The sequence below is a fragment of the Homo sapiens genome, chromosome 9 (assembly GCF_000001405.40).
Source record: "Homo sapiens chromosome 9, GRCh38.p14 Primary Assembly".
In the NCBI taxonomy this organism is placed as follows: domain Eukaryota; kingdom Metazoa; phylum Chordata; class Mammalia; order Primates; family Hominidae; genus Homo; species Homo sapiens.
This window is the reverse complement of record NC_000009.12, coordinates 92,283,669-92,296,370: the sequence shown is the minus strand read 5'-3', so window position 1 is coordinate 92,296,370 and position 12,702 is coordinate 92,283,669. Positions and strand designations below refer to the sequence as shown.

The window sequence follows — 12,702 nt, the reverse complement described above, 5'->3', positions numbered from 1 at the left end:
TCATCTCAGTAACAATCATTTATTTTATGCACAAATACTGCAATTTGGTCAACACTCACTAGGGACTGCTGATCTGTGCTGTGTGCTTTCACTGGGGTGGTTCAGCTAGGGCTACGGGATCTGTTTCTAAGATGGCCCACTCAGTGCCTGTTCATGGGCTTCCTTACAGCATAGCAAAAAAGCTCTAGGAGCAAGTGTTCTCAGAGGCAGGAAGCAGATGCTGCCTGTCTCTTAAGGCCTGGCCCAGAAACCGGCTCAGTCACTTCACTGTATTCTACAGGTTTAAACTGACACACAGCCCAACCAGACTGAAAGGGAGGGGACACAGATCCTCACTTCTTAGTGGGAGGAGTGTCAGAATGTGTGGCCGTAATTTAAATCCGGCACATGTTTCACAAGCAGACAAATAAGTAACATCAAGTAGCCTTGCCCACCCCCCAGTTCCTGCTCCCCAGATGAAACCACCTTCAGCAATTTAATTTCTCTAGTATTTACCTCCATGTTTCTACCTAACATGCTTATGCTCTGATTTCTTGGTTTTTCACTTCCAGACACTACATATTCTGAAAAGGTGAAAAAATTATTCACCTCTTCAGTCCAAGTAATATATTTTGACTACAGTTAACTTTTTTGCTGGAATTTTTTCATTTGCTTAACTTTTTCTAGACTTAGTCTTCCCATACCTTCCAACTGTGGGACATGATGAGGTTTCTCTTCAAATAGCCTGATCAATCCTTTATTCTTTAATTCACAGTGCCCCCCTCTTCCCTTTTTCTCCTCTTTCCTTTCTGCCTTTGTTACATGCCTAGACAGGCCACAGTACCAGGCGTTATCAGTACCAGCTCGTATTCCTTATCCGAAGAGAAGACTAGCTCTCTAGCTCATTACAGACAGCCCTTCCCCCTTTCCCCTCTCTCTTACGTGCCCACCTTATCTAAAGAAAGTTAAAATGTTTAGCCAACTGTGGTTATTTTAGATTGTGAGGCCCAACTCCGGCCAATGGAGAAAGGGTACAGGGGCAGGGTTTGTGTCAGGGATAAAGGTTCTCGTGCCCCTTTGTTCTGGTGTGCTCTCATGGTGACTGGCCAAGGAGAAGCACCCCTCTGCGCAGAAGTAAAATTGCTTTGCTGAAAATCCTTTGTTTGAATGTTCAATTTCCTTAGGATTTTGAGCATTATTTCCAACACAACAGTACTATTAATATAAATGTTTCTCAATCAAATTTTTAAATAATTAGACTTGGCCTACCTCACCTTTGTCCAGGAGCCCTCTGTCTGGCTCTATCTGGGCTCTCTGGATAGGTGACAAAAATGAACTGAACAAGGTGGCAACGTGAGGAATGTGAAAACTTCAAACACATTCCAAATACTTTCAGTTAATTAACAAGATTTGCAGCTATTAAATTATGTACGTTATGTGAGTATAGTCAGAACACTGAGTTACCCATGATGGAGGACATGAAACCACTTTAATCCTTCACACAGGGCCAAGACGGTAAGTAAAGTTAAATATATGCTGAACAGACTATCAAAATGTTCCTAAACTTAATAAGAAACTGCATTCTACCTATTCTAGGCCAGATAAATTTTTTATATCCCTCTAACGGATACAATAGGCAGCTACGGAACTACTCCCAATTTGGCAAGATCCAGAATTTCCTTTAGAGGCTCTGGGGCCAAAGCCCGAGGCCTACTGCCCTTTGCAAGGCTCCAGATTTTAACCAGCAGATCAGTAAGGTACCAAGCCGACTCATAGCAATGATAATAAGTATGCAGGCCGGGTGCAGTGGCTCATGCCTGTAATCCCAACAGTTAAGGAGGCTAAGGCAAGCAGATCGCTTGAGCCCACGAGTTTGACAGCAGCCTAGGCAACATAGCAAGACCCCGTTGCTACAGAAAATACAAAAATTAGCCGGGCGTGGTGGCGCTAGCCTGTAGTCCCAGCTACTTGGCCAGGGATGAGGTGCGAGGATCATCTGATCCGGGGAGGTTGAGGCTGCAGTGAGCCATGACCGTGCCACTGCACTCCAGCCTGGGCGACAGAATGAGACCGCTTCTCAAAAAAAGAAAAAAAAATCGTTTGTGCAATGTTTTCATTACCGGAAACATTTTAAGTAAAATACAATAAAACTTTTAAATCTGGTTGTCAGACCCTTCCTTCCCTTTTGTTATTATCGTTTCACGTAGCCATTTATGATAGGAGAAGCGGCTTTGGGGTCGGCGGCTCAGGGCCCAAAAGTATAATTATTAAAGCCACCTCTCCGGAAGTTGCTGTTTGTCGTTATCAATTTAGGTACGAAGTGTCCAGTCAGATAAATACTGACAAAAGCAAACAAGATGAAGAACATGAGCCCCGACCTCGGCGCCCCTTCCCAGTGGGCCGTCACCTACCCGGAGGTGCCCACAACCCGAGTGAGACCTCGGTCTACACTACTGCAACGGATACAAGCAGCACGCACAGCGCCGCCCTCAGCGCTGGTTCGTTTTCCACGTGGAGGCGCAAAACCAGCAAGCACCACTGTCGCACCATCCGAGCCAGTGGGCGCAATCATGTCCGGCGCGACCAATCGGCGCCTGGCTTGTTGGCAGGTGTCAGGCAGCGCGCACTGATTGGCCGGTGCGGAGCCTGTCTCCTTCACTGGATCCCGCATTTTCAGCGCGTTGCATCACCTCCGTGCGCCCGGTTGCAGCGTGGACGCCGGATGAGTTGCTTTTAGGCTTGCTGGCCCGCGGGGCTGTCCAGGCACGCGAGGCCCCTCAGGTACGCCCTCTCTTCCCTGCAGGATCCGGCCCTCAAAGACGAGGGTCACGCACGCGTTACAACCCCGAAACAGTAGCACAAGATTTAATTTTTAAAAGAGCGTGTTTCTTCGGGGCTTGCCGTTCGTTCGTTTCCAGCCTCAGGAATTTATGGTCGCCTTTTTGAATGAGGTAGTGTTTGAAATGAGTAAAATCTTTTTAAAATGATATACATAGTATAAATTGATATAGCTGTGACTTTATGTATAGGCAATACGTATTTTTATATGTCTTAATTTATTACCTTCAATGGCTGCGAGATACTTATTTTATTGATGTACCGTAATTTACTTCAGTCACCATGAATATTTAGATTGTTTTCAGTTATTTGCCTGGAGAAACAATTATTCGGTGAATGTCATTGTATACACATTTTGTACATTTGCATGAGTATACCTGTGGAGTCTATGTTAATAGGATATAACTAAATTGAGGAAACGTTTGAGACGGTCCCACTTTCAGGTTACATTTGACTTAATAGATTATGAAGACCTGAGAATAAAAGGAGAAACAGAAATGGATTTAGAGGAGAATGAAAAGGGGGAACAGAAATAGGCTTATAGGTAGGATCCACATGACTTGATGATTAATTGGTTGTGTGTATCTTCTGAGTAGTGTCAGGGGTGACTCAAAAATGTCATGCCTAAGTAATGGGAAGAATATTGGAACCACTAATACAGTAGTTTAAAAGGGAAGCAATTCTGGAAGGAATTATGAAATTTTAAACAAAACATGGTTTTAGTGTGCGTTTCTAAAATATATTGAGGCAAAATAATATGAAGTAATGTGAATAATATGTAGTTAATATCAGGGAGGGTGGTCTCGAAATTGCTGAACGGGAAGTTGAGGTTAAGGTGACCTGAAGGAGTTGTGGAGCAGCGAAGAGTCAAGGGCCTGGATTATAATAAGAGGGAAGCAAAGGGGATGGCATCCCTCTGCACAACAAGGTTGTTGTGCAAGGTTAACCTGCTCTGTCCCTGCCCTGTGGTTGCTGGATGCTGTTGTGCATGGACAGCTCTCCAGTGGATTCGATGGGCCATAGCAATCCTGTGATTTATGCATGGAGGCTGCTTCTCCTCAGCAGCTGCCATAGCCCGGTCGCTGGTACATGATTCTTCCTGAATAGTCAATGCTGTTATACTGAGTGTTTATGCTTGACGTAATAATGCAGTGATTCTTAATCTTTGGGGAAAGTAGAGACTCCCTAAAAAACACAGTAAAAGCTGAATGAGCTGGCCAGGCATAGTGGCTCATGCCTGTAATCCCAGCCCTTTGGGAGCCCAGGGCAAGAGGATCGCTTTAGCCTAGGAGTTGAAGACCAGCCAGGGCAACATGGCAAAACCCTGTCTCTACAAACCACCCCCTCCCCACCAAAAAAAAAAAAAAAAAAAGCTGAGTGTGGTGGTGCACACCTGTAGTCCTAGCTACTTGGCGGGCTAAACTGGGAGGAACACCTGAACCCAGGGAGGTCAAGGCTGCAGTGAGCCATGATTGTGCCACTGCACTCCAGCCTAGGTGACAGAGTGAGCCACTGTCTCAAAAAAAAAAAAAAAAAAGGAATGATCCTCTTCTCAGAAAGCTTAAATCTTATTTTCTCAAAAATAAAAATTCAGATAGATATTCCTGAATAATTGTTAGAACAGTGCAAGAGTGGTGATGTTCAGACTTTGATGTGAATGCTCATCCCCTAGGGATCTTGTTAAAATGCAGGTTCTGACTCGTAGGTGCGAGGTGAGGCTGGTAAGTCTGCATCTCTAATAAGCTCCCATAGATGTGGGCCATAGTAGGACCAGCCTTGAAGAGATTAGAATGTGTTGGTATCTAAAGGTCTGTTAGTCTTCAGATAACAATCCCATAAGTTTCAGTTGGCCTCTGATAAGGTACACAATGAACCTAAATAAATCAGTAAATGCACAAACACTTATTTTGGTCCTTGAAAGGCTAGAGGTTATAATAAGAGTTGAAGATCTAAAATGCCTTAAACCTTCTGTTTAATACCTTTTAATGGCATACTGTGATCAGAAATAGCTATTTCAGTTAGTTAAACAGCCCAACTGTTCTTGTCCTGTTTTTTCTTAAATTAAACTCAGAGGCACTCACACATCTGAAAAATTAATGAGGGTAAAAGAAAATGAAAGATACTACTTGTCACAGACTTTTTTTTAAATGATAACTTGAATCAATAACTTGATTAGACTATGATGCTTTTGATGCTTTCAAAACTGTTTGAGGTATGTAGGTGTCTTTTCCTGTAGAGTTGATTACCCTGGTCTGTTGTGGTTCTTGAGTACTTAAGATTTTTTATCTTCTCTGTTGTTCCCTTATTAGCAATTTTATCCCCTTCTGATCTGATACTGACTTGGAAAGCTCGTCACCCACCTTGTTAGAATTGTTAAGTAAATATAAATAGACTTTGAGAAGGAAAGGTCTCAAGGGTGGCTCACTAGATACTTAAGTCATAGATTGATCAAGTATCTCTGCATGAGGTTATTAGCAAAACATTTAAAAAGACACTTTAAGACTTCTCTCATTAGGGACTAAACCAGAAAGGTATAGGGCTCATCCTTCATAAAAATCATGAATAAGCAATAAAAAGGGTAAAATGGAAAACTGGAATCTATATTTGAATGTGAGATTCTCATCTTTTTAGCTTTAAGATTTTTTAAGTTTTACCAGTTTTCCTCAAAGAGAAGATGAAGTTACTTCAAGAGAACTGATTTCTGTCATGTGAGTGTAGGTAAGAAAATTCTTAACTACTTTGAGATATTTTTCTTCAGATTATTAATGAGTTTTTTGCACCACTAGATAGAATTTCCAAGATTTTCCTGCTTACTTTTGGAAACATTGTCTCTACCATTACTGAATATTAAATAATAGCCATGTACCCCTCCCTCACACCATATACGAAAATAAAATTATTTGTGGCCTAAATGTAAGCGAAAAATCTATAACCTTGTTTAGGTAATGGTTTATTGATGACACCAAAAGCTCAAGCAGCAAAACCAAAAATTGACAAATTGGGCATCATTAAAATGAAAAATCTTTGTGCTTCAAAAAATGCCATCAAGAAAATAAAAAGACGGCCCACAGAACAGGAGAAATTTTTTATAAATCATATATCTGATAAAGGATTTGTATCCAGGATGTATACATAACCCTTAAAACCCAACCACAAAAAGAGCCCAATTAGAAAATAGGCAAAGGATAAATATCTATCCAACGTGGATACGCAAATGGCCAATAAGCATGTGGAAAGATGCTCAGCATCATTAGTCCTTAGGGAAATGCAAATCAAAACCACAAGATACTACTTAACATCTCCTAGAATGACTGTAATTCAAAGATGGACAATAAGATGTGTTGGGTAAGATCTGAAGAAATTAGAATCCTCATTCACTGCTGAGGGAATGTAAAATAGTACAGTCACTTTGGAAAAATTTTGGCATTTTCTCAAAAAGTTAAATACAGAATTATCATGTGACCCAGAAATTCTACTTCTAGCTACAAACCCAAGAGAAATGAAAACATAGATCCACACAAAATTTTGTATGTGAATGTTCATAGCAGCGTTATTCGTAATAACCAAAAAGTGGAAACAATACAGGTATCCAAGAAATGATGAATGGATAAACAAAATGTGGCATATTCATGAAATGGAATACTATTCAGCTATCAAAAGTAATGAAGTATGAATACATATTACATCATGGATGAGCCTTGAAAACATGCTAGAGAAAGGAAACCAGATGCAATAGGCCACATATAGATGATTCCTATAAATTTTCCCATTTATATGAAATGTCCAGAATAGGTAAATCTGCAGGGACAGAAAGAAGATAAATCGTTGCCACTGGCTATGGAGAAGAAAGAATGGGGAGTGACTGCTAATGGTTTTGGGGTGTTTTGGTGGGGAGGGGAGGTTGAAAACGTTTTGAAATTAGGTATTACTAGTTATACTACCTTGTAAATATACTAAAAAGCCACTGAATTGTACACTTTTTACATTACACTATGTAAATTGTACATCAATAAAGCTGTAATTTTTTAAAAGTATGGATAGTGTCATGTACACCCATGTTAATAATATGGTACTCTGTTATTCCTAGATTTCTCTTTTGACAGTAATAAATTTGATTTCTTTTGCAGCAACAAAATGCTTCAACAAGTTCCAGAAAACATAAATTTTCCTGCTGAAGAAGAGAAAATCTTGGAGTTTTGGACTGAATTTAATTGTTTTCAGGAATGCTTAAAGCAATCAAAACATAAACCAAAGTATGTGAATTTTTTAGGTTAAGTTCCCTTAAGAATAGTCATTTCTTAGACTGAATTCCATTAAAGCAGATACTTTTTTTTTTTTTTTTTTTTTGAGATGGAGTCTCGCACTGTCATCCAGGCTGGAGGGCAGTGGTGCAATCTCTGCTCACTGCTACCTCTGCCTCCCGGATGCAAGTGATTCTCCTGCCTCAGCCTCCCGAGTAGCTGGGATTACAGGTGCCCGCCATCACACCAGCTAATTCTTGTGTTTTAGTAGAGACGGGGTTTCACCATGTTGCCCAGGCTGGTCTCGGACTCCTGACCTCAAGTGATCCACCCACCTCGGCCTCTCAAAGTGCTGGGATTACAAGTGTGAGCCATCACGCGCGGCCTAAAGCAGATACTCTTTATTAATCTTTCTATTCCCAGAATCCCCCAGCTCCCTATGTAGTGGGTACTCAGTAGTAGATATACATTGAATGAATGAGTTCTCAATTATTGGGGTAAATTTTGTTTCTTTAAAAGGTCATCTGAGTAAAATTTATGTGTCATCCTCCGTGTCACCCTCTTTCCACCTTTATTTTCATCACCACCCTCGTTTAGGCACTTATACCTAAGTACCCCATAGAAGGCTACTATAGTACTACCTGCCTTTAGTCCTCATTCACCTAAAAGACTAGTCCTTTAATCAGTGTTTTCATTATATGTCTCCTCTGGTCAAAAACTATGAGATAGGGGTTTATTGCCCTATTTTACTGATGAGATAACTCAAGATCAGGATAAATAATTTGCCTTATGTCATGGAACTAATAAATGAAAAATGGATAATCAAATGGAGGTCTCTGTAGCTCTACCACAATTGTAGCCTTTCTGAAGGCAGGACCACCAGTAAATATCAAATCAATTATGTCTGTCGGTTTCCTGATCTTGCTGCTTTTCTCCTTGAAGACTCCACTATGACAAGAGCTATCTATAGAAAAATGCCTTAAATTTTGGCTGTTTTTAAATGGCTTGATATATTTTTATTACCTGTTAGATTTACCTTCTATGATGGTCCTCCTTTTGCAACTGGACTGCCTCACTATGGACATATACTTGCGGGTACAATTAAAGATATAGTTACAAGATATGCTCACCAGAGTGGGTTTCATGTTGACAGAAGATTTGGATGGGATTGCCATGGCTTACCTGTGGTATGTTTGAGTATCCAGCTTTATAATTTTCTGATTTTTTTTATAAGCATTAGATTTTGTCATATAATATGTTCAAGTATGATGAACGTTGACTGTCAGACCTTCTAGTTCATTTCTATAATATTTGTAGTTTGATTTGTTTTGTTTTCTAGAGTTGCATAGTTGCAGTTGTTTTCATAGGGCAGCGTGGTAACAGTCTTATCACAAATTTTCAGGAATATGAAATTGATAAGACACTGGGAATCAGAGGACCAGAGGATGTGGCCAAAATGGGGATTACAGAGTATAACAATCAGTGCCGAGCAATTGTGATGAGATATTCTGCTGAGTGGAAGGTATGTTGGGTTTTTTTCAGTAGAATGAACAGCAAATGTAGTTACTAAATGGGCATTGAAATGGTTTATGGTCCCTTGTGCTTTTTTTATTAATTTATTTTTTGTAGAAAAAGTGTTAGCTTCCACCTTCAACCCTATTACTTAAACGGTTAGCTTAAACTGAACCATCTCTCTTCTGACTTCTGTGTGCTTAATTGGTCTAACTTTCTTGCATGATCACCAATAGGGAAAAATTCTAATAAGTATAACATGATATATAGGCCTTTTCTTTTTTTCTCAAATACTTTTTTCAATTTTTTTAACTTTTCATTTTGAAATAATTTGACTTATTAAACAATTGAAAAAGTAGTATGATGGGTTCCCCTATATCCTTCATCCATCTTTCCCAGCTGCTAACATCTTCGGTAACCATAATATTAATAGAATTTTCAAAAGCAGTTGCCCCATTAATTTTTATTTCTGACCAATCACATATTGCATTTGGTTGTCATGTCTTTTTAGTCTTCTTAAGTATGGAACATTTATTTAGTCCTTTGTATTTCATGGCCTTCTCACTTTTGAAGATTGCAGAACAGCTATTTTCTATAATGTCTCTCAATGTGTGAGGTTTCCTGATTTAATTTAGGTTATGCATTTTTGGTGACAATGCCACAGAAGTGATGCTATGCCCTTCTCAATGCATTATATCAGGTGGCATGTGTTGCGGCTATGTCACATTGATGGTGATAACTTTGTTCACTTGGTTAAAGTGCTGTCAGCTTTCTGCTTTGTAAAGTTGTAGTTTTTCCTTTGTAATTAATAAGTATCTTGTGGGGAGATTCTTTCCAAATATTCTTTTTTTTGTCATACATTCACTTATTAATTTTAACATCCATGGATGGTTTTTGCCAGTAATAATTATGCCTGTGATATTTGCCAAGTGGTGGTTTTGGTAGACTTTTATAAGTGAATATTTATACTTGTAAATAACATTTTGTGCATGTAGGATGAATGCCGAGAAAACTGGTTCTTAACCTTACATAATATGTTGTTGGCAGTATAGATTTACTTGTACCATTGATTATTCTGTTTTCCCAAAATTTTCATTTGTGATGACAACAGAAATAAACACACATTGATGTACAATTATAAATATCATTGTCTAATACTGTTCTAATATTAATATTTTAAAGTCTACTGTTAGCAGACTTGGCCGATGGATTGACTTTGACAATGACTATAAAACTCTGTATCCACAATTCATGGAATCAGTCTGGTAGGTTTATTTAAAATTGTAAATATGGTAAATATTCTATTCTGTTGTATTGATAATTGGAAAAATGCACTAGCATGAATCAGTTTATTTTTGAGTCCATCGTTATTTCTCTGAAAATCTTTGGGAACAGGTTTGTTTTTGAATGTAGAACTTTTATTTTTATTTTTTTGAGACTGAGTCTCGCTCAGTTGCCCAGGCTGGAGGGCAGTGGCACAGTCTTGGCCCACTGCAACCTCCGCCTCTCAGGTTCAAGCGATTCTCTTGCTTCAGCCTCCCAAGTAGCTGGGATTACAGGCGCCCGCCACCATGCTTGGCTAATTTTTGTCTTTTTAGTAGAGATGGGGTTTCACCTTGTTGGCCAGGGTGGTCTCGAACTTCTGACCTAGGTGATCCATCCACCTTGATCTCTCAAAGTGCTACGATTACAGACGTGAGCCACTGCGCCCAGCCTGCCAGTTGCTTTTCTTAACATTATGTGTTAAATATCATTCGATATCAGTAGATATTAGCATTTTAATGTCTGCCTGATGTCTTACTATATTGATCTGTTATAATTTACCAGCCAGTCTCCCAATGAAAGACATTGTTTTTTCACTTATTTGGCAGACAGAAACTCTAAAAAGAAAATGGCATAAATGTTTGCATTTTCAGAAATAGAATTTTGTTCTGTAATTGTGAAACTCCATCTCTTACCAGGTGGGTCTTCAAACAACTCTATGATAAAGGCCTTGTTTATAGAGGTGTGAAAGTCATGCCCTTCTCTACGGCATGTAACACTCCACTTTCCAACTTCGAGTCACACCAGAATTATAAGGTACGTGAAATGTAGAGACATTATTCAGCATTGAGTTTTGTAGGTGGAAGCTGAGTAGTTATGATCACAGTAGGTATTCCCAAGTAGACCCAGTGTGGAATGTTGCCCACGACATCCACCACTTTGACCACTTCTTACTGAGTGCTGGAAATATTGCCAGTTAGTATACTAAGGCTCTGTTAAGATGAGGGATTTTTTTTCCACATTGGATTTATGATGTGTCTTAATGTGATAGGTTTTGCTTGTTTTGACCATATTTTTGTGCCTCTCTGTTGGGTTAACAAGTCCAGCTTTGACATACTTCCTGTAGTCATCGTTTCTTAAGGGTTGAGTAATTTTATGCCTTATCTGGGACCTCATGATATCATTTATTTGTTAACGGTATTTGGAAAAAAATTAATTTGAGATGCCAAATGGTATTATTTTTCCTCTGATGAGATAGAATCAGTTGTTGTTGTTGCTATGATTGAGGTGTTTAGACATGTTTGATGTTTACAGAGTGTATTGTTATACCATATCTAGACAGATATTATATACTAGTAAGTCTTCTGAAATGTGAACCATCTCTTCTCGTGTGTATACTGAGTTGTTTTCAGTTTTGAGAGTTTATCTGACCCTCTGTTTTTAAAGGATGTTGACTTGTTTGGAATTCTTGTTTCATGGCCTAGGTTTGAAAATTACATTAGTAAAATTTGCCTTTCAAAGCACGTTTTATTTATAGAATGCTTTCACATATCCTGTTTGATTGATCTTTGTAAATCCTTGTAAGGCAGGTATGATGATTTCTATTATCTCCTTACCACCTCTCTGTGCTCATGTTTGTATTTTTTTAGTAAAATATTTTAAGCACTTAACAATGTAGAGAATGATATGGTAAACACAAGGTTTCCAAGGCTTACCTTTGTCAAATCTTAATATATTGCTATATTTGGTTTTTGTTTGTTTGTTTGTTTGAGTCAGAGTCTTGCTCTGTCGCCCAGGCTAGAGTGCAGTGGCGCGATCTTGGCTCCCTGCAACCTCCACCTACCCGATTCAAGCAGTTCTTTGCCTCAGCCTCTGGAGTAGCTGGGTTTACAGGTGCCCACCACCACGCATTTTTAGTAGAGACAGGGTTTCACCATTTTGGCCAGGCTGGTCTTGAACTCCTGACCTTGCGATCCACCCACCTTGGCCTCCCAAAGTGTTGGAATTACAGTTGTGAGCCATTGCGCCCGGCCTGTTTGGTTGTTTTTTAAAACACTTGAATGTGGACAGTTTCAGGGACATGCAAAAGTAAACAGAATGGTATAATTAATTTCTGTAGGCCCATTAAGGCCCCCAGCACCAATGACTGGCTAATCTTGCCTCATTCATACACATATTCTTTCCCACTTTCCTTCCAATTCTGAAACAAATTCCAGATATCATATTATTTCATCAAGAAATAATCCAGTATAGATCTTTCATAAATAATCTTTATCTTCTTTAAACATTGCCATGTTAGCATTCGTTGTCACACCTTAAAAAGTCATCAGCAGTTACCTTTTTGTTGTTGTTGTTGTTTTTGAGATAGGATCTCGCTATGTCACCCAGGCTAGAGTGCAGTGGCACGATCTCGGCTAACCACAGCCTTGACCTCCCGGGCTCAAGTGATCTCCCCTTTCAGCCCCCTGAGTAGCTGGGACTACAGGAACATACCACCATACCTGGCTAATTTATGTGTTTCTATAGGAGTGGTTTCACCATGTTGCCTGGGCTGGTCTTGAACTCTTGGGCTCAAGCAGTCCACCCGCCTTGGCCTCCCAAAGTGCTGGGATTACAGGTGTCAGCCACTGCACCTAGCCACCTTTAATAGTTTTTATTTTAATATTCTCAAATTATGTAATTCCTGAACATCATCAGTTCATATTTCTAATGGTTTAATCATTTCCCAAGGGGTTATATTTTATTTTTATTTATTTATTTTTTTAAATCAGGATCTACCAAGACTTAAACACATGGTGACTGTTGTCTTTTAGGTCTTGTACACGTTTCAGTTGGTTATATAACAAGTAGTGGAATTATCGAGTCAGAG

The 12,702-nt window shown here is 39.4% G+C and overlaps 1 protein-coding gene and 2 non-coding genes across 24 annotated transcripts in view, besides 1 other annotated feature; all 3 read left to right on the top strand.

Annotated features, from left to right (window-relative positions):
* Positions 2,243–2,292: an enhancer, noted in NCBI's record as "active region_28593". NCBI's record gives its function as "activates an Ori minimal core promoter by ATAC-STARR-seq in GM12878 lymphoblastoid cells {active_cell/tissue: GM12878}" and the evidence as "EXISTENCE:reporter gene assay evidence [ECO:0000049][PMID:35858748]".
* IARS1 (isoleucyl-tRNA synthetase 1) overlaps positions 2,674–12,702 on the top strand; it is an 83,491-nt gene continuing 73,462 nt past the window's right edge. For 11 of the 22 annotated variants that reach the window (NM_001374301.1, NM_001378582.1, NM_001378584.1 and 8 more), the window contains exons 1-6: positions 2,674–2,760; positions 6,945–7,070; positions 8,089–8,245; positions 8,461–8,580; positions 9,753–9,835; positions 10,532–10,649. In NM_001374301.1, coding sequence (NP_001361230.1) covers positions 6,952–7,070; positions 8,089–8,245; positions 8,461–8,580; positions 9,753–9,835; positions 10,532–10,649 — 597 coding nt within the window. In that variant the 5' untranslated portion in view covers positions 2,674–2,760; positions 6,945–6,951. Of the gene's footprint in view, positions 2,931–5,448; positions 5,536–6,944; positions 7,071–8,088; positions 8,246–8,397; positions 8,581–9,752; positions 9,836–10,531; positions 10,650–12,702 lie in introns of all 22 variants that reach the window. The other 11 variants (NM_001374300.1, NM_001378578.1, NM_013417.4 and 8 more) reach the window with 8 other exon arrangements.
* Positions 3,778–3,910, top strand: SNORA84 (small nucleolar RNA, H/ACA box 84). The gene has a single exon (NR_003704.2). It is a non-coding gene; the product is annotated as a small nucleolar RNA, H/ACA box 84 (small nucleolar RNA).
* MIR3651 (microRNA 3651) lies at positions 3,824–3,913 on the top strand. Its single transcript, NR_037424.1, has one exon. It is a non-coding gene; the product is annotated as a microRNA 3651 (primary transcript).